The sequence below is a fragment of the Homo sapiens genome, chromosome 19, assembly GCF_000001405.40.
Source record: "Homo sapiens chromosome 19, GRCh38.p14 Primary Assembly".
In the NCBI taxonomy this organism is placed as follows: domain Eukaryota; kingdom Metazoa; phylum Chordata; class Mammalia; order Primates; family Hominidae; genus Homo; species Homo sapiens.
The window spans coordinates 2321521-2340332 of NC_000019.10; the positions used below are offsets into that span (position 1 = coordinate 2321521).

The 18812-nt window shown below is 60.4% G+C and overlaps 2 protein-coding genes across 7 annotated transcripts in view, besides 10 other annotated features; one reads left to right on the forward strand and one right to left on the reverse strand.

Annotated features, from left to right (window-relative positions):
• LSM7 (LSM7 homolog, U6 small nuclear RNA and mRNA degradation associated) lies at nucleotides 1–7066 on the reverse strand. The gene is made up of 4 exons (NM_016199.3): nucleotides 7041–7066; nucleotides 6867–6957; nucleotides 2605–2676; nucleotides 1–302 (listed from the first exon to the last, which is right to left on the reverse strand). Exons 1-4 carry the CDS (start codon nucleotides 7044–7046, stop codon nucleotides 160–162), a joined length of 312 nt encoding a protein of 103 aa, NP_057283.1. The 5' UTR covers nucleotides 7047–7066; the 3' UTR covers nucleotides 1–159.
• Nucleotides 2766–2825: an enhancer, noted in NCBI's record as "active region_13678". NCBI's record gives its function as "activates an Ori minimal core promoter by ATAC-STARR-seq in GM12878 lymphoblastoid cells {active_cell/tissue: GM12878}" and the evidence as "EXISTENCE:reporter gene assay evidence [ECO:0000049][PMID:35858748]".
• Nucleotides 3266–3385: an enhancer, noted in NCBI's record as "active region_13679". NCBI's record gives its function as "activates an Ori minimal core promoter by ATAC-STARR-seq in GM12878 lymphoblastoid cells {active_cell/tissue: GM12878}" and the evidence as "EXISTENCE:reporter gene assay evidence [ECO:0000049][PMID:35858748]".
• Nucleotides 6071–6170: a silencer, noted in NCBI's record as "silent region_9786". NCBI's record gives its function as "represses an Ori minimal core promoter by ATAC-STARR-seq in GM12878 lymphoblastoid cells {active_cell/tissue: GM12878}" and the evidence as "EXISTENCE:reporter gene assay evidence [ECO:0000049][PMID:35858748]".
• Nucleotides 6441–6500: an enhancer, noted in NCBI's record as "active region_13680". NCBI's record gives its function as "activates an Ori minimal core promoter by ATAC-STARR-seq in GM12878 lymphoblastoid cells {active_cell/tissue: GM12878}" and the evidence as "EXISTENCE:reporter gene assay evidence [ECO:0000049][PMID:35858748]".
• Nucleotides 6781–7435: an enhancer, noted in NCBI's record as "H3K27ac hESC enhancer chr19:2328300-2328954 (GRCh37/hg19 assembly coordinates)". NCBI's record gives its function as "activates a minimal SCP1, AML or CMV promoter by ChIP-STARR-seq in primed H9 embryonic stem cells {active_cell/tissue: H9 hESC(primed)}" and the evidence as "EXISTENCE:reporter gene assay evidence [ECO:0000049][PMID:30033119]".
• Nucleotides 6781–7450: a biological region, named in NCBI's record as "H3K27ac hESC enhancer GRCh37_chr19:2328300-2328954".
• Nucleotides 6871–6920: an enhancer, noted in NCBI's record as "active region_13681". NCBI's record gives its function as "activates an Ori minimal core promoter by ATAC-STARR-seq in GM12878 lymphoblastoid cells {active_cell/tissue: GM12878}" and the evidence as "EXISTENCE:reporter gene assay evidence [ECO:0000049][PMID:35858748]".
• Nucleotides 6931–6980: an enhancer, noted in NCBI's record as "active region_13682". NCBI's record gives its function as "activates an Ori minimal core promoter by ATAC-STARR-seq in GM12878 lymphoblastoid cells {active_cell/tissue: GM12878}" and the evidence as "EXISTENCE:reporter gene assay evidence [ECO:0000049][PMID:35858748]".
• Nucleotides 7164–18812, forward strand: part of SPPL2B (signal peptide peptidase like 2B) — a 26412-nt gene continuing 14763 nt past the window's right edge. For 2 of the 6 annotated variants that reach the window (NM_001077238.2, NM_152988.3), the window contains exons 1-7: nucleotides 7164–7255; nucleotides 13082–13201; nucleotides 15923–16105; nucleotides 17232–17321; nucleotides 17549–17688; nucleotides 18304–18446; nucleotides 18556–18652. In NM_001077238.2, the coding sequence (NP_001070706.1) occupies nucleotides 7190–7255; nucleotides 13082–13201; nucleotides 15923–16105; nucleotides 17232–17321; nucleotides 17549–17688; nucleotides 18304–18446; nucleotides 18556–18652 (839 nt within the window). In that variant the 5' untranslated portion in view covers nucleotides 7164–7189. The other 4 variants (XM_011528138.3, XM_011528139.3, XM_017027018.3 and 1 more) reach the window with 4 other exon arrangements.
• Nucleotides 7191–7450: a silencer, noted in NCBI's record as "silent region_9787". NCBI's record gives its function as "represses an Ori minimal core promoter by ATAC-STARR-seq in GM12878 lymphoblastoid cells {active_cell/tissue: GM12878}" and the evidence as "EXISTENCE:reporter gene assay evidence [ECO:0000049][PMID:35858748]".
• Nucleotides 11002–11051: an enhancer, noted in NCBI's record as "active region_13683". NCBI's record gives its function as "activates an Ori minimal core promoter by ATAC-STARR-seq in GM12878 lymphoblastoid cells {active_cell/tissue: GM12878}" and the evidence as "EXISTENCE:reporter gene assay evidence [ECO:0000049][PMID:35858748]".

An 18812-nucleotide genomic window follows, 5' to 3' on the forward strand; every position in this document is an offset into this window, starting at 1 on the left:
TTGAGGTTTGCAATTTTATTAAGAAAACAAAAATTCAACCTATACAAAAAGGAAAATGCTTCCGTTCCAGGAGGCGGTACTGCGGTGGGAGCAGCAGCCAAGTCCGCGGGAAACCGAGCTGCTCGGGCCTGCCCTGCACCCCCCGCGCCCCCGGCCAGGCTAGGCGTCCTGCTGCTGGATGAAGGGGTTGGGGATGGCCTCCATGCCGTCCTGCGGGCAGATTAGCACCACGGACGTGCCCCGGCACACCACGAGGCCCAGCTGCCGGGTGTCCTCCGTGAGCTTGTACTGGTCGTCAGGGTCTGGGGAGGAGCAGATAGAGAGGACTGAGGGACCTCCAGGAAGCCTCCGAGACCCCCCACCCACCCAAGACCCTCGCTCCGACCTCCCCACCTGCACCCTGCAGGCGCCACGAGCACGCAGGGACCTCAGACGGGATGCGCTCTGTGGGGCAGGTCCCCGGCTCCCACGGCTGAGACCCATGGCCCCTAGAGACCAGTGGCAGCTCCACAGACAGCAGCCACAGCCCTCCCTCACTCCACAAACCATGGGAACAAGAAGGCCCAGGTGATAGCCGGCTACCCCGCGTCTCAGAGCTCACTGGGGCCCAGGCACCAGGGCCGGGAACCAGGTTATCAGATGGCCGGCCAGAATACAGGCACCCTGGGCCTCCTGGTCTCTGCAAGGTCCCTGGAGCCCTAGGGGGCCAATATTCACCCTATAACAAAGAGGCTGGGGGCCGGGCGCGGTGGCTCACGCCTGTAATCCCAGCACTTTGGGAGGCCAAGGCAGGCGGATCACGAGGTCAGGAGATCGAGACCATCCTGGCTAACTTGGTGAAACCCCGTCTCTACTAAAAAATACAAAAAAATTAGCCGGGCGTGGTGGCAGGCACTTGGAGTCCCAGCTACTCGGGAGGCTGAGGCAGGAGAATGGTGTGAACCCAGGAGGCGGAGCTTGCAGTGAGCCGAGATCGCGCCACTGCACTCCAGCCTGGGTGACAGAGCGAGATTCCATCTCAAAAAATAAAAAAATAAAGAGGCTGTTCATGTGGGGTGGGGACCATGTGGGCTGGCACCCCAGGGAAGTGCCAGCAAGCCCAAGACAAGCTCTCAAGAGGCTGAAGGCGATTAAAACTCCTCACTACTGTGGTCCTGCAGTGGTGGGGGCATGGGAGAACCATGGGGCCCAGGTTTTTAAACTTTTTTTCAGACACCAGGTCTTGCTCTGTTGCTCAGGTTGGAGTGCAGCAGTGCAATCACAGCTCACAGCCTCAACCTCCTGGGCTCAAACAATCCTCCTGCCTTAGCCTCCTGAGTAGCTGGGGCCACAGGCACATGTACCGCCATGCCTGGCTAATTACATTTTTTTTTTTTTTGTAGAGACAGGGTCTCACTATGTTGCCCAGGCTGGTCTCAAATTCCTGGGCTCGAGTGATCCTCCTGTCTTGGCCTCCCAAAGTGCTGGGATTACAGGCATGAGCCACCATGGCCAGCTACAAGAATAAATCTTGTCTCAGTATCAATGGATCCAAGGGGCAAGACCCTCTCTCTCCTAAGTCCTGACATTCCCCCAGTGCCCGGGCCGGGATGGGGACTTGCCAGCTGGGGACTTGCCGCAGGAGCTTCTGGGGGAGAGTCTGAGGACTTGGCGGCCTCACTGGGGAGGGGAGCGAGCGGGGGCAGGGAAATGAGGGAGGGTCCTCTGGGGAGGAGACAGGGACCCTGCGTTCATAGCGGGAATTAACAAGGGCAGAAGAGGAAAGGCGCCCGAGAGGAGCCCCACGGCACGCTCACTACCCCACAGCAAGGCTGCTCTCCGCTGGGCGCCACAGCTCACGCCTGGAACCCCAGCACTGTGGGAGGCTGAAGCAGGAGGATGGCTTGAGCCCAGGAGTTCGAGACCAGCCCGGGCAACACAGTGAGACCTCAGCTTATCTCTTTTTTTTGAGACGGAGTCTCACTCTGTTACTCAGGCTGGAGTGCAGTTGCACCATCTCGGCTCACTGCAACCTCCGCCTCCCAGGTTCAAGCGATTCTCCTGCGTCAGCCTCCCGAGCAGCTGGGATTACAGGCATGCGCCACCACACCCAGCAATTTTTTTGCATTTTTAGCGGAGACGGGGTTTCACCATGTTGGTCAGGCTGGTCTCAAACTCCTGACCTCAAGAGATCCTCCTGCCTTGGCCTCCCAAAGCGCTGGGATTATAGGTGTGAGCCATTGTGCCTGGCCTCTCACGTCACCAATTTAACAAAAATTAAAATAATAAAACATTTAAAAAGGTTGTCCTCTAACTGTGCCGGGCGCCCCGTCAGTGTGTAGAGACCAGTGGGTGAGCTGGCAGCTCCCGTCTCTCCAGGCCCCACAACAATGGGGTTTCCTGCTTTGTGAGGACGTCTAGGACCAGTGAGCGCTCAAGCCCGTCCATCGGCCGCCACGAGGCTTCACGTTGGTAACTCAGAGGTTTTGTGGGTTTGAGAGAAGAAGAGCCAGCAGGGAGCCCCACGGCTGCCCCCCTCGTCCCACTGCCCCCCTCGTCCCGCTGCCCCCCTCACCCCACTATCCCCCTCGTCCCGCTGCCTGCCTCGGCCGCCACCCCACTCACCTCGCATGTACTCAATGGTGCCGTCCAGCACAAGGTTGAGGAGTGGGTCGAAGCCCTTCAGGATTCCACTGGCTTGGAGAAATCACCGGGGGAGAGAAAAGAGAAGGCATGAGATCCGTCCTGGGCGCAGGGCCCGCCCCAGCATGGCCCAGGTATGGGGCTAACTGCTCCAGGGATGGAGGACTGAGGGTAGGAGAGGGCTCCCGGGAGTGGCCGATGACAGCCGCCTCCAGAGTGATCTCCACCACAGGCAGCAGACCACGTCTGCGGGGGGCCAGATGGCAAACACTTCTGGCCGTGTGGGCCACAGGGTGCCGGTCACAGCTGCTGGCTCGGGCTGCCTGGGTGGAGGCAGCTTCGGTAATGAGTCCATGTGTGGCTGAACTGCGGCCGGTCAGCTCTACTCACAGGCACTGAACTGTGAATTTCATGTAATTTCCACATCGTGAGACAGTCTTGTTTTGATCCCTTTCTAGCTATTTAAAAGTCATAAAAACAATTCTCAGCTCAAAAGCAGCAGCAAAACAGGCGGCGGCACGTGTACGCGGTGGGACCACCAGCCAGGAAGAGGAGCGAGGCTGGCGCAGGCCACAGCGCGGATGCGCCTGAGGACGCACCTGAGGACGTCACGCTCAGTGAGAGACGCCAGACACAGAAGGCTGCGCACCGTGAGATCCCATTTCTATGAAATGTCCAGGACAGGCCAATCCACAAAGACAGGGAAGGGATGCGTGGGTGCCAGGGCCAGGGATGGGACAGGCAGTGATGGCTGATGGGGACAGGGCTTCCTGTAGGGGAGACAGAGTGCTCCGCTCTGACAGCGGTGATGACTGCGCTGCCTGACCTGTGCTGAGTCCCTCAGTGAGTTCACGGAATACAAAAGAACAAATCCCAGCCCTGCTGCTTAGGGCTTGCGGGGAGCAGGCAACAGAGATGCTCTGAGACCCAGGTGCAAAGGCTTCGGGGGCTGAGACGGTCTCTGTGGCTTCTCTCTCCACGCTGCCTGCCCCACCCCTCAAGCTTCGCCGCCTTGGGCCACAACTTGCCAACTTAGGTTAGGGCTCTCTGACCCGGTGGTGATCTCTGCCATCTGATCCTGCTCCGCAGTGTCTGGTGACACTGAGAAGGGTGAAGGGGGAGCTGTGTGTCCCCAGCAGAGGCCAGCCCACCCTCTCTGCCTGGGACTCCCCTCCACTGCCCTGCAGGCTCCTGCAGCCGAGGCCCAGCAGCAGCTCCACCTCTGCGCTCACTGAGGGGCGTCCCGCAGCCACCCCCTCCCTGCTCTCCTTCTTACCCCTGTCATCTTTCAGGTGCTTCCTCCAGACACCAACCCACAGCCCTTACGGTGCTGCCCTCTGCACGCCCACGCCAATCTCAGGAAGCAGGCACCACCAATCTCGGGAAGCAGGCACCACCAATCTCGGGAAGCAGGCACCCCGGGCATTATTCTGCCTGCCTGTCTCCTCCCAAGGCAGGGCCGAGAGCCCGTCCACGGCTGCTCCACACACACCGAGGGCCGCCCTGTGCGGTGGTGCGGGGGAGGGTCTGCAAACTACGACCCCCAGGTGAACCTGCCCGCCGCTCCTCTCTGTAAGTCAGAGTCTCGCTGGCCCACCACCACACTCGCCCGCTCAGGCGCTGACCAGGGTGGCTCTCCTGCTCTGCTGGCATAGCTCAGTGGTTGTGACAGAGACCATCTGGGCTGCAAAGCTAAAGATATTTGCCGTCTGGCCTTCTACAGAGAAGGTCTGCCCGCCTGCATACAAGCTTCCGTCCACCTCCACAGGCTTCAGCTTCCACCTCCACGGCTCCCTCTCTCTTTGCTCAAGTCCCTCCCCTGCAAAATGAAACTCACCTATAAGATGGGGTCAGATGCAGATGTTCAGGTCCTTGGCACCAGCCTGACCAGTGAGCCCGCCCTCCTCACGGGGAGAGATGTGAGCACTGAGGTAGGTAGGTCTCTAACATGGAGCCAAGGTGCCCCTCCTCTGGAGTGTGGGCTAGGGCCTGTGACTCTGACGGGACAAGATGTCACTCCTGCGCTTAGGTTATGTGGCAAAGACAAGGAACTTTGCAGCTGTAATTAGAGCCCCTGAATCAGCTGACTGAGCCAATCAAGAGAGAAACACCCTGGGTGGGCCTGACTGCATCAGGTGAGCCCTTCAGGGACCAAACCCTTTCTGCTTTTTGTGTGTGTGTGTGTGTGTGTGTGTGTGTGTGTGTGTGTGTGTGTTTGAGATGGAGTCTTGCTCTGTCGCCCAGGCTGGAATGCAGTGGCGCGATCTCAGCTCACTGCAACCTCTGCCTCCAGGGCGATTCTCCTGCCTCAGCCTCCCAAGTAGCTGGGACTACAGGCATGCGCCACCATGCCCAAATAATTTTTGTATTTTTAGTAGAGATGGGGCCTTGCCATGTAGGCCAGGCTGGTCTCAAACTCCTGAACTCAAGTGATCTGCCCGCCTCAGCCTCCCAAAGTGCTGGGATTACAGGCGTGAGCCACAGCGCCCAGTTAATTGTTGTACTTTTAGTAGAGATGGGGTTTCGCCATGTTGGCCAGGCTGGTCTCGAACTCCTGACCTCAGGTGATCCACCTGCCTTAGCCTCCCAGACTGCTGGGATTAAGGCGTGAGCCCCCGCACCCGGCCCCAAACCCTTTCTGAAAGATGATTCTCCCACTGGCCCGAATAACTGAATATGGACAAATGTCAGCTCAGCCTGCAGCACTGTAGGGGCAGACCACCACGGTGGAACAGAGTCCCGAGCTGGCAGCGTCCGGGAGCTGCAAGTGTCCCTAGCCAACACTGGCCAGAACGGGGACCCTGGCCCTGCAAAGGTAAGGCACTGAGCTCTGTCAATAACCAGTGGGCTCAGAAGAAGACCCCAAGATGATGGACCCCAAAAAACAACCCTCAGTTACAACCTCCTGAGAGCCCTTGAGGCTGTGGTACCCTGGCTCCTGACTCACAGATCCTGTGAGATAATAAAATGGTGCTGTTTCAGCTGCTAAATGGGTGATTTGCTATGAAGGGCAGAAAACAAAGGGAAGCAGTGTGACCAGCAAGAGCGGCCGCTCACTCATGTCCTTCCATGTCCGGAGTCAGCATGGTGTAGACTGAGAAAACATTTTATTCATATTCCTTTTTCTTTTTGTTTTGAGACGGAGTCTTGCCCTATCGCCAGGCTGGAGTGCGGTGGCACAATCTCGCCTCTGGGGTTCAAGCAATTCTCCTGCCTCAGCCCCCCGAGTAGCTGGGACTACAAGCGTGCGCCACCATGCCCAGCTAACTTTTTGTATTTTAGTAGAGACAGGGTTTCACCACGTAGGCCAGGATGGTCTTGATCTCCTGACCTCCTGATCTGCCTGCCTCGGCCTCCCAAAGTGTCAAGATTAAAGGCATGAGCCACTGTGCCTGGCCTCCTTTTTCTCTTTTGAGACTGGGCCTTGCTCTGTGGCCCAGGCTGGAGTGCAGTGGTGCGGTCATAGCTCACTGCAGCCTCAAACCCTAGGGTGAAGCCACCCTCCTGCTTCAGACTCCCAAATTGCTGGGATTACACACGTGAGCCGCCCCGTCCGGCTGGGGCACTGTGATTTTTAATAACTCTCATGCCACCCAGTTGTCTACAATCCAGGGACAAAGAGGTTTGGGTCCCCGTCTTACAAAAAAAAGAAACCAAAGATCCAAGAGGCTATTGAATAAGTGACGTGTTGTCTGACTGCTTACTTCCTGCTGAGAGCTGCCTCAATTACATTACATGCCTGTAACCATTCATTCTCACCACCCCCTGTGAAGTGGGTGGAGTTACCAGCCCCATTTGACAAATGAGGAAACGGAGGCTAGGAGAAGGCAGCTCACTTGCCCAGTCAAAAATGCTAGGCTGGGCATGGTGGCTCATGCCTGAAATCCCAGCAATTTAGGGGGCTGAGGCAGGCAGATCGCTTGAGGCCAGGAGTTTGAGACCATCCTGGCCAACATGGCCTCTCTACTAAAAATACAAATATTAGCCGGGCGTGGTGGTACACATTAATTCCAGCTACTCGGGAGGCTGAGGCACAAGAATCACTTGAACCTGGGAGGCGGAGGTTGCAGTGAGCTGAGATCGCACCACTGCACTCCAGCCCGGGTGACAGAGCGAGACTGCGTCTCAAAAAAAATAATGAAAATAAATAAAAGAGGTGCTTCCGCATGCGTCCTCATCATCTCTGTTGCTGGGTTTATTTGAAATTTTTAAAGAGGGGGTACCGACAGCGGGAGCCTCCTCACCTTCGCGGCCTCCCTGGAACTTTACCCGGATCGTCTTGTCGATGTACTTGGACAAGTCCAAGATGCTCTCCTTTTTCTTCTTCTCCTTATCCTGCGGGGAAAGCAGAGCGCATGAGACCTGGAGCGCGGCCCGAGCTCCACGCCCCCCGGCTCCAGATTCCGCCGCGCGCTCACCGCCATCTTGTCGCGCCGTGTGGCTCTTCGCAGGCACCGCCCCGCGCCCTTTGACCTCCCCCACGCGCATGCGCGGCGCATGCGTGGCCCGGGGTCTCGGGGCGTTGCTGGGAAACATCTGCCGTTGGTTGCGGCGGGCACCGGCCGACATGGCGGCAGCGGTGGCGGCTGCGCTGGCGCGGCTTTTGGCGGCCTTTCTGCTCCTCGCGGCCCAGGTGAGCGCGGCACCGGTCCCGACGGCACCGCGGGCTGCGGCCCTTCGGCCTCTCTGTCCCCGGGCTACGCGCAGGAACGACCCCGCTCGGCCCGTCTTGGGGGTCCAGCCTCGGGGATCCGCCGTCCCCGCGTTGTCGGCCGGCGGTGCCGGGGCTCGGCCGTGACCTTGCGGGTCTGTCCCCGGCTCCTCTCCTTTCCCCGCCTCGGAGGCCCTCCGCCGCTGCAGCGCCACTCACTTCCCACCGGGTCTGAAATTTGTGCCCCCTCCATCCTCCGGTTCTGCTTCTCCGTTTCGGGGTCTCCAGTTGCCGCCGGGGACGCCTCTCTCCGGCTCTGTGGCCTTGAGCAGGCGGCTGCCCACCCCTCTCCGAGCCTCAGTTTCCCCTTAGGCGGAACGGGCACGGTGCTAAGCTAACCTCACCCTAGGGGGTGCGGTGGGGGAACCCAGAGGCGTCCCGCGCGTCCCCCAGTAACTGGCAGCATCCTGGAGCGGCCAGGAGTCCAGCCCTGCACTGGGGTCGGATCCCCGCTCCATCTTTTACTCCGTGACCTTGGACGATGGAATTCGTGTGCAGAAGGAGGACCGACTATGGTGTGGATTCTGGAGGTTCTGTCCAGGGTGACCAGCGCCCAGGGCCAACAGGCCTTCATTATGTTCATTGTGTGTCATTTGATGTAAAGAGTGTCAGGTTCTAGTGGGGACAGTCTACGAGATCGCACTGTCATAACTGCATCTTTTATTTTCTTAATTCCAAATCTTCCCTCTCTCCTGAGTTCGGTGGCTCAGGCAATGGAACCTGGAGCAGCCCCACAAATGCAGCCCTTAACCTTCACTACCCCCTCAGAGTTCTCACTCTTAAGGCGTCGCCGCCACCTGGCTCCTCAGTCTCCACTCCTCCAGCCCCACCGCTATCCCTCTGCTGTGGCTGCCTTTGTCCACCACATCCCCAGTCCATCCTCGACACAGCAGGGGTGACCCTTTCAAAGTATGTCAGACCGTGTCGCATCCAGATGAGTGCGCCGTCCAGTTGTGACCTGGCTGCTGGGGAAGCCTGCAGCTCATTGCAGTCGCTTCACTCTCTAGTCTTTTCTCTTACCCTGAGATGCCCCTGGTCTCTGCAAGGCTGTCGGGCCCCCTCGGAAGCTTTCTGAGAACCCCAGTCCTACCCCCAGCTGCTCTGTCAGCCCCCTTTGGACTCCCCCCATTCTGCAGCCAGGCACCTAGAGCTCCCCAGACATTTGGAAGGAGGGGGAAAGCCAGAGGTGGAAGAAAGATCACAGAACTCTGTGGAGAGAGGGACTCAGTTTGCCTGGGAAGGCTTTTCCGAAGCAGATCTATTTTTTTTTTTTGAGACGGAGTCTCGCTCTGTCGCCCAGGCTGGAGTGCAGTGGCATGATCTAGGCTCACTGCAACCTCTGCCTCCCGGTTCAAGCAATTCTCCCACCTCAGCCTCCCGAATAGCTGGGATTACAGGTGCATGCCACCACTCCTGGCTAAATTTTTTTTTTTTTTTTTTTAGTAGAGACGAGGTTTCACCATGTTGGTCAGGCTGGTCTCGAACTTCAGACCTCAGGTGATCCACCTGCTTCGGCCACCCAAAGTGCTGGGATGACAGGCGTGAGCCACCGTGCCCGGCCCCGAGGCAGGTGTTCTGAATGATGAGTAGGAGTTTGCCGGGTCGGCAGGAGGGGAAGGGTGTTGGAAGCACCAGAAGCAGCATAAGCGGGGGCTGGGAGGTGTGAGAGCTGGCAGGTTATTTGGGGTTGGCAAGGGGTGGGCTGTGGCTGGAGTGTAGGGTGGAATAATGCTGGAAGGAAGGGTTTACACCCTGAAAGATGTCACCACCAAGGAGGCCCGGGGGGTGGGCCGTGGAGGGTTGCTGGAGCAGGGGCACAGAGGAGGGGGCAGTGGTGCGAGTGGCCCCAGGCAGAGAGTGAAGGCAGAGCATTCAGCCTCCTAGTCTGGATGACAGGTTGTCTGGTGGAAGCCAGGCCGTGGAAGGCGCTTGGTGCTGGGGTGCGTGGACTTTAACCTGGGCGGGCTGAGGAGTGTGAGCTTTATCCGGAGGGTGGGGAGTCAAAGGATGTGTCAGAGGGACGTGAGAGAGCAGGTGTTCCTGCCCCTTCCAGAACCCTGGTTGTAAATACACCCTGAGACGCCTGTCCCTGGAGGGGGGCAGTGCTTCGCGGCAGTGGAAATTTGAGTCCGATTGCCCAAGAATGAGACTTGCTCTCAGGGCAGGAGCCTGGTTGGTGACAGTCCTCAACTCGCTTGCTTGCTACCATTCTGTGACCCTGAGCAAGGAAGTCGACCTCCCCAGTGAGACACCTCCCTTCCCCCACCCCACGGAGCCCGCTCCTCAGCAGATCTGAGCTGGAGCTGGTGGCCCTGGCTGGACCCGGCCCGGCTCCTGGAACTCCTCAGTCTTCCCAGAAGGGAGGCTCTCCCCGCCTGGACTCACTGGCCTGTTTCAAAGGCCCTTGATGTGGATGCTTTCACAGTCACTTGGAAGCGGGGTTTCTAAGCCTAGTAGTTTCTGAACCTGTGTGCGGTTGCAAAGCGTTTGTGCTGCAATTGTGAAGGATTTGGAGGTCGAGGCTTGGGCTTTGAGCCTGTCCTTGTAGCCTGAGCTTTTTCTGCTCCTCCAAATTTCGGTGGGCCTGTCTAGAACTCAGGGCCCTCTTAGAGCTGTGGCCTTTGGAAGAATTGTTCCCCGTTCCTTTAACTCAGCAGGTGAGGAAACTCTTCCCGGTGAGATGCCGCGTTCTCTGGCCTTTGATAGAGGCACAGGCTTGTTTTTTTAATGGAAAACCAGTTTTGCGAATTGTGGAGAGGAAAATGCATGAATGTGCTTTTGTGCTTTTAAATGACCCTTTTAGAGAGAAGCAGAGAAGCAGTTCTATCAGTTCCCATTTTACACAAAAGACACTTTTCACCAGAGTCCCTGATCCCATAGAACAGAGCTTGGCAAGTGTTTTCTGGGAAGGGCTAGACAGTAGTTTTGCTGGGCTCTGTGGCCCACGTGGCCTCTGGTTTGGTTGCTTGGTTTCTCCTGTTGTTCTTCCAGAGCCGGAGACCCTTCCTTAGGAATGGGCTTGGCTGTGTTCCAATAAAACTTTATTTACAAACACAGAAGGTGGGCCGGACTGTGGATTCTTGGCCTCTGCCGTGACCCATAACATCCCTCCTGGAGGAGGGGTTCTGGGGGGCTGTGTTGGAAGGGGCACCCTCCGGGCTCGGCACCGGGGCCAGACTAAGGGGTGCTCTCACGGGCAGGCAGTCTGGTGGGCAGAACTGGAAAGAAAGGGCTCCTGACTCTGCCTGGGCTCTGGGGGAGGTCACATGGGAGGTGCTTGGAGTGGGGCTGGGGCAGCTGTGGGAAGGAAGCAGCATTAGCCAAGAGCTATGAGACCCCCAGTCGATTGTGGGGACCGGGGCTCCGTGGGCTTTCACCATGCTGCCACCCCGAGGTCACCAGGGCCTTGACCCAGATGCTCCCAGACCAGGCCGGAGACTTTGCATGATTTCAGTGATGAGGGCCCGGCTGTTGGAGAGCCCGTCTGTGCCTGTGTGCTGGGGTTGGTGTCTGGCACCAGGGACCTTTGGGACCTTTAGCCAAGCCAGAGCTGTCCTTCCCCAGTCCTAGCTTGGCAGAGCTGCGTCTGCACTGTTTTCCCTTGTGGCGTTGTGGTGTCGGCCCGTTTGGTGCGCAGCTCAGCATCCGTTCAGACATGTGGCTGCCATCCTGTTCCTGATGAGGCAAATGGCTGTGGCCTGTTTGTTTCCGTGACAGGTCCCCTGGGGACCAGGGGGTGCGGCTGTCTCTCTGTCTGGGAGGTTTACAGCCTGGCAGGAGCCCTGCAGCCCCAGAAGGCTGAGGGCTGGGTGCTCCTGAGAACGGGCAGGCCTAGGGCATGGGGTGGGTCTCCTTGGTCCCTGGCACGTGGTTTTTCTTCTGGGACCCCTCCTCCCTGTGCAGGCCGGGCTCCCCTGGGGGCCCACACTGAGGGTCTGCAGTGTGGCACAGCAGCTGGGACCTGGGCCCCATCGCTGTGAGACCCTCTGGTGACTGGCATCCTGGCGAGATGGAGATGTCTTTGTCAGCTGCTGGGTGGGGGCCCTGGGCAGGGGAGCAGAAGGAAGGTGGGGATGGCAGGTGCGGGCGGCTGGACTGGGCTCTGCTGGGAGGGGGAGCAGGAGGAGGGTGGGGATGGCAGGTGCGGGCGGCTGGACTGGGCTCTGCTGGGAGGGGGAGCAGGAGGAGGGTGGGGATGGCAGGTGTGGGCGGCTGGACTAGACTCTGCTGGGAGGGGAGCAGGAGGAGGGTGGGGATGGCAGGTGCAGGCGGCTGGACTGGGCTCTGCTGGGAGGGGGAGCAGGAGGAGGGTGGGGATGGCAGGTGCGGGCGGCTGGACTAGACTCTGCTGGGAGGGGAGCAGGAGGAGGGTGGGGATGGCAGGTGCGGGCAGCTGGACTGGGCTCTGCTGGGAGGGGAGCAGGAGGAGGTGGGGACGGCAGGTGCGGGAGGCTGGACTGGGCTTTGCGGGAGCAGGAGGAAGGTGGGGATGGCAGGTGCGGGCGGCTGGACTGGGCTCTGCTGGGAGGACCGTGGTTCTGCCTAGGCCAGAGCCCTGCAGTGTCCGCCGTGGTCCCTGCGGTGGGAGGCGTGGTGAGCAGTGCCAGCTTCCTGCTTGTGGAATCCGTCTTTCCTCATAGCTCCATCCTGCTCTGTTAAGCATTAAATTGAAGAGGTGGGGGTCGTCCCTTCTGGTCCAGGCCCGTCTACTCCGCAGCCCTCCTGGGAGGCGTCCAGGGCTTTGGGGCCTGGTCCTGCCCCCTACTTCATTTTGAGAGCGTGGCAAGGGCCCCAGCCCGTTCTGTCCTGGGCGCGGTGGCCACCACCCCTGCTTCTCTTGGCTGGCTTTGGCCTGTTGTCCCCGTTGTGTGTCAGGGGCTCCTGCCCGTGGATCCGGGCCTTCTCCCTGTGGCCTTCTCTGAGCTGCTGCTGCTGCAGGCTGGAGAGCAGGAACTTGAAGCCCTGGCTGGCTGTTCCTTCTCCCTCCTGCGAAGTGGGAGCTGCTGTGCTGGACTCTGCTGCTTTGGGGCTTCATGGGGAACATGACGCTGTCTGTCCTGCTGGTGGCAGCGTGACCTGTTGCAAACCTCAGCCTGTCCCACTCAGGACCCGGTGCCCGTAGGCCCCTTGGCCCACCTGCTTCCTGCTGTTCTACCAGTGGGAGCTGAGGGGTGCTGATCTGGGGATCCCCCTCGTCTGGGCCCCACCGTGTGCCTGGGCCCCCGTGTGCCTTGGAGCACCAGCCAACAAGCAGTGCCCACGGGGCTGTGGGTCAAAGGCCACCCAGACCTGAGGGGTGCAGAGGCTTGCTTGTCCAGGCCTCCCGCCCAGGCTGGGGGCCAGGTCCGCTGGGGCCCTGCCCTGCTTCCCTGCTCAGGGCTCTGCCCGTGGCTCTGCCCGTGGCTGTCATTCTCCCACCGTGCCCACTGATCCTGGGAGGCCCAGGAGGTGGTGCGATCCCTGTTTTTTGGTGCAGAAACTCGGGAGCCACAAAGGGGTGACCTGACACACTCATGGTCACCAGCCTGGGGCTCCCTGAGGAAGGTGAGCCAGTCTGGGTCTTTGCTGTAAACCACGTATGGTCACGTCCCTGTCTGTCCTGTCGAGAGGGGGAAGCATCCCAGACCACCTGGTGAACATGGGCGCCCTTCCTGGAGGCGTCCTCCCCTCCTCGGGCCTGTTTCTCGTGGGGCGGTGCAGCCCCGCACGTCCCGTGCTGTGGCTCTGACTGCTGGCCTTGTCCTGCAGGTGGCCTGTGAGTACGGCATGGTGCACGTGGTCTCCCAGGCCGGGGGCCCCGAAGGCAAAGACTACTGCATCCTCTACAACCCGCAGTGGGCCCATCTTCCGCACGACCTCAGCAAGGCAGTGAGTACCCGCTGGCCGGGCGCCGCTGCGGAGGAGAATGCGGGGGCCCCGGGGCTCTAGAGACACATCCGGCTGGGGTTGCAGGAAAGATCCAGAGGCGAGAGGCAGGCCCTGACCAGGTCTGGGGGACTCTTAGCTGGCCCCCAGTTCCCCTGGGCCTCCCCAACCCTGGTCATCAATGCAAGCTGTCCATGCGGCCTTGGGGTGCAGATCCAGAGGCACCGGCCGAGCTCCATGTGGTAGATAAGGGTCTCTACTGCTCCATGCCGGGGACCCTATCCAGTGGGCCCAGACAGAGGGGTCCTCAGAGGAGTAACAGCAGAGGGCACAGTGGGGCCCCAGGGACGAGACCTGTTCCTTTCACCGTCTTCCTGACTGGGGCACTAACACCTGCTGCTGGATGAGTCCCTCCCTCAGAGGCCCCACCTCCTTTCCCACTTAGTCCTCATGCCCCGCCTCCTTTCCCACCGCATCCCTCAGGCCCCGCCTCCTTTCCACTGCATCCTTCAGGCCCCGCCTCCTTTCCCACTGCATCCTTCAGGCCCCGCCTCCTTTCCCACTGCATCCTTCAGGCCCCGCCTCCTTTCCCACTGCATCCTTCAGGCCCCGCCTCATTTCCCACTGCATCCTTCAGGCCCCGCCTCCTTTCTCACTGCATCCTTCAGGCCCCGCCTTCTTTCCCACTGCATGCTTCAGGCCCCGCCTCCTTTCCCACTGCATGCTTCAGGCCCCGCCTCCTTTCTCATTGCATCCTTCAGGCCCCGCCTCCTTTCCCACTGCATCCCTCAGGCCCCGCCTCCTTTCTCACTTCATCCCTCAGGCCCTGCCTCCTTTTCCACTGCATCCCTCTGGCCCCGCCTCCTTTCCCACCACACCCCTCTGTCCCTGCCTCCTTTCCCACTGCATCCTTCAGGCCCCGCCTCCTTTCCCACCCCATCCCTCAGGCCCTGCCTCCTTTCCCACCGTATCCCTCAGGCCCTCTCTCCTTTCCCACCGCATCCCTCAGGCCCCGCCTCCTTTCCCACTGAGTCCCTCAGGCCCCGCCTCCTTTCCCACTGTGTCCCGCCCCCTCCTGGAGCCCTCGAGGTGTGCCGGCGAAGAGGCACTAGCATCTTCCTGTCAGCTTTATGCATAGTGTGTGCGTGTGAGCACGTGTGTAATCAGTATGTGCCTGGACATGCTCATGTGTCTGCATGTTTATGTGAGTTTGCATCAGTGTATGTGTGCATGTGCCTGAGTGTTTTTTTGTGTGTGAACACATAGGTGTGTGTCAACACATGTAATAGGTATGTGAACACATGTAATAGGTATGTGTGAAGACATGTGCCTGAGTGCATATTTCTGAGTTTGTGTGTGTGAGCACATGTGTACTAGATATGTGCATGGACATGTGTGCCTTAGTGCGTGTTTGTGTGTCAGCACACCTGTGTGTGTGAGCATGTGTGTAATAGGTGTGTGGGGGCATGTGCATGGGTCTGAATGTGTATGTCTGTTTTTATGTGCACATGTGCCTGTGAGTGTGCATGCAATAGTTTTGTGTATGGATGTGTGAGTGCATGTGTGTCTGTATGTGTGCAGGTGTGTGTAAGCATGTAGCTACATAATAGTTATGTTTGTGGATGTGTGCATGTGTCTGCACATGTGTGCGTGTGTACATGTGTAATAGGTCTGTGTGTATGTGTGTGTACATGTGGATAATAGGTTTGTGTGTGGATGTGTATGTGCCTGTGTGTTTGGGTTCGTGTGTGTGCATGAGTGTGTGTGAGTGCATGTGTAATAGGTATGTGCGTGTGAGTGTGTGAGTTCATGTGGCGTGTGTGTATGCATGTGTGTGTAATAGGTGTGTGTGCGTGAGCTTGAGTGCACAGGTATGTGCTTGTATATGCACACGTGTGCTGTGTGCTCTGGCCTGGCTGTGTGTGCGTGTGTGTGTGCATGTGTGTAATAGGCATGTGTCTGCTTGAGTGTGAGTGTGCATGTGTGTGCTTGCGTGTGCATATGTGTGCCATGTGGTCCGGCCTGGCTGTGTATGTGTGCACGTGTGTGTGCATGCACTCCAGCCTGGCTGTGGGTGTGTGTGTGTGTGCGCGCTGGCCTGGCTGCGGCTATGTGCGTGTGTGTGTGTGTGCACTCCAGCCTGGCTGTGGGTGTGTGCGTGTGCACTGGTCTGGCTGTGGGTGTGTGTGTGTGTGTGCATGTATGCATGTGTGTGCCGTGTGCTCCAGCCTGGCTGTGGACGTGTGCTTGTGTGTGCGCGTGTTCCGGCCTGGCTGTGGGTGTGTGTGTGCGTGTGCGTGTGTGTGTGCGTGTGTGTCTTGGCTTCAGGGGCTGTGAGGCCCCTGAGAGTTGGGGCTTTGTTCTCTGCACACTGGAAACCCTCCCCCTTCTCACAGATGCCTGGCCGTGGTGGGGCTGCGGTGGGGACCCACTTGGTCTTGCTGAGTGATCTGTGACGGCTCGCGGGGTGGCTCAGGTATCAGGGGACAGCCATGTCTGTGAGGACTCCGGCCCCGCTCAGATGAGGCAGCCCAGCCCGTCGCCCAGGGTCCGGCTGTGGGAGCTGCAGTAGGGATGGCTCTGCCTAGGTGGGCCGAGGCCGTGCGGGGCTTTAGGTGAGGGCTGGGATCTAACTCAGCGCAGGCTTCAGGTGGGAGAACGGGCAGCTGGGCCCTCCTGGTGACTCACATCACGTGAGACAACACTGTGCCCTGGCCTTTCCAGTCTTTCCTGCAGCTGCGCAACTGGACGGCCTCCCTGCTCTGCTCCGCAGCCGACCTCCCCGCCCGTGGCTTCAGCAACCAGATCCCGCTGGTGGCGCGGGGGAACTGCACCTTCTATGAGAAAGTGAGGCTGGCCCAGGGCAGCGGAGCACGCGGGCTGCTCATCGTCAGCAGGGAGAGGCTGGTACGGCCCTGTGCGTCCCCCGCTGGGCCAGCTCTCAGGGGCAGGAGGGGGGTGCAGGAGGCAGAGATGGCAGCAGCTGGGGCTGGTCTTCCGACTTCTCGCTAAAGGCAGATCCATCTGTGGGGAGGATCTGGGCCGAGTGTGAACATGGGGAGGATCCGGGCCGAGTGTGGCCGTGGGGAGGGCGGAGATGAGTCTGTTCTTCCTGAGCTGCTGGCTGGGGCTGTGGAACTTTGGCCGTGGTCTTGTTGGGTGCCTGTCCTAGAGCAGCCCCCAGGGGTGACGGAGACCACACTCTCTGTGGGGATGGGATTGGGGTGGCTTCTGAGGAGCAGGTGGCCTGGCCCTGAGCTGGTCCTTTCTGGGTACCCTGGTGCCCTTGCCCTCTAGCCGGTGGGGCCGTGCTCGCCTGTGGTCCTAGCCAGGTGGCCTGAAGCCTGGCCCCTTTTCCATCTTCTGTGAAATGGGGCTGTGGTTGAGAGCTGGGGGCCTGGCAGGGCTGGTCACAGCACAGGGACATGCCGACTGCTGGGCTGGGCAGGGTGCGTGGCCGCCCCTGAAGTGTAGTTTTGGAGTAAGAAGGAATGGAGTTCAGGAATTCCCTCACAGCTCTGCCTGTGGCTCTGGGCTGCCCCCGCCAGTGTTGCACCCTGAGCCTGGCAATCCACGGAGGCCTGGTGCAGGGGCTCAGGGCCGAGGGCAGAGCAGGCCGGGCAGAGCCGAGAGTGCCATCCCTGTCCGCACACGCTGCCGTCGTAGTTGAGAGAGGCCCTCAGTGGGTGCGGGGCTCAAGGCGGCTTAGTGGGCAGGCATGGGCTGTGACAAGTATCACTCAGGACTTGTATGTGCGGTTCGGGAGTCCCACGGCCGAGGGAGGGATTAGTGGCGCTTTTAGGCCTGGGGCCCTGTTGTCAGGTGAAGAAGGCTTGATGCCCTTCGGCCTCCCTGTTCTTGGGTCCTCCTGGGGGGCCGGAGGCTGTCAGCTGCAGAGGGGGAGCCAGCAGGCGCCCCCAGCCTGACCCGAGCCTCGAGTGAGGGTCCCAGGAGAGGAGGCGAATGGGCACAGAGCTGGGGGCCCACCCACTGCTGCGGGTGATGCCTGCCGCTCCCTCCTCTGGGCCCCCAGGTCCCCCCGGGGGGTAATAAGACGCAGTATGATGAGATTGGCATTCCCGTGGCCCTGCTCAGCTACAAAGACATGCTGGACATCTTCACGGTAGGTCTGCGCCGGCTCAGACCCACGCTCCCGAGGAGATGGGGCAGGGGGCTTCGGGCTGGCTGCCGGGGGGGTTTGTGCCTCAGTTGGTGGGATCAGGGTGGTGGGTGAGGCGTGGCCCCTGCAGGCCAGGGTCTCCAGCCCCAGCCCCACAGCCCACAGCTGCACGTCGACCCATGGCTGGCGGGTGGCTCTGACGCCTGCCTCCGGTGTGTTCCTTGAGGCAGCGTTTCGGCCGCACGGTGAGGGCGGCGCTGTATGCGCCTAAGGAGCCGGTGCTGGACTACAACATGGTCATCATCTTCATCATGGCTGTGGGCACCGTCGCCATCGGCGGCTACTGGGCCGGGAGTCGGGACGTGAAGAAGTGAGTTTCGCATCGTGCGTGTGCTGTGACGGGGTCGGGCGGCTCTGACACGGGCCGGGACGGCCAGTCTTCCAGAACAGCAGTGAGTGCTTTGGCCTCGGCAGGCACGGCTCGCCCCGTGGAGCCCTTCGTTTCTTCCTCAGGAGGTCCTGGGACAGAATCAGTCTCTTTTCCTGCCAGGGTGGGCTCCGGGCACCTGGTGGGTGTGTAGGGCTGGGCAGGTGTGGATGTGGCAGGTACGGGCGTGGCAGGTGCAGGGCTGGGCAGGTGGCTGGGGCCAGCTACCCTCTTCCTGCTGAGCCGCCTGGGTCTGGGGAGGCCCCATGTCCAGGGCTCTTTATGCAGATCCAAGCTGCGGTTGCTGCCCACACGCCAGCCTCTGGCCCGGCCTAGTGGCCACCCCAGCTCAACCCAGGGACGCGGGCCCTGCCACCCTCTGCTGTGTGGTCTCCTCTGCCCTGGGGACGTTCGGGGCGGTTCCTTGCACTTCAGTCCCCCCCGGGTCCCCTCCTGCTCCCGGGTTTTCTGCCCCGTTCCCCCGGGTGGCTGTGGGCTCCCGAGCCCCGTGTCGGCCAGCCGGCCCCAGGGCCCCACGACCCCATGGTGTCTCCCAAGAAGGTACATGAAGCACAAGCGCGACGATGGGCCCGAGAAGCAGGAGGACGAGGCGGTGGACGTGACGCCGGTGATGACCTGCGTGTTTGTGGTGATGTGCTGCTCCATGCTGGTGCTGCTCTACTATTTCTACGATCTCCTCGGTGCGCGGCCCCGGGCGGGTGGGCCGCGGCGTGGAGATGCAGCCCGCCCCGTGCGGAGGGAGGGTGGCGTGCGGGCCTGGCCCCCGGCCTCACGGCCCTGCCCCTGCAGTGTACGTGGTCATCGGGATCTTCTGCCTGGCCTCCGCCACCGGCCTCTACAGCTGCCTGGCGCCCTGTGTGCGGCGGCTGCCCTTCGGCAAGTGCAGGTGAGTCTGCCCTGCTGGCCCCGACGTGCCTGACTCTGTGCGGTGATGGCCACGGCCCCTTTGCCGCCCCATAGCCCCCCATGGTGCAATATTGCTCAGAGTCTACAGCAGGCGCTCCCTCAGTGCTGGCCTGGGGCTCCTAGGCCCAGGAGCAGGGCGG

Bases quoted from the DNA above. Each gene is read 5' to 3' on its own strand.
- LSM7 (NM_016199.3), bottom strand. The intron at 2,677-6,866 runs GTGAGGAGGCTC...GATTTCTCCAAG, and splicing joins GTTCCAGGGAGGCCGCGAAG to CCAGTGGAATCCTGAAGGGC. The intron at 303-2,604 runs GTGAGTGGGGTG...GCTCCTCCCCAG, and splicing joins CACCATTGAGTACATGCGAG to ACCCTGACGACCAGTACAAG.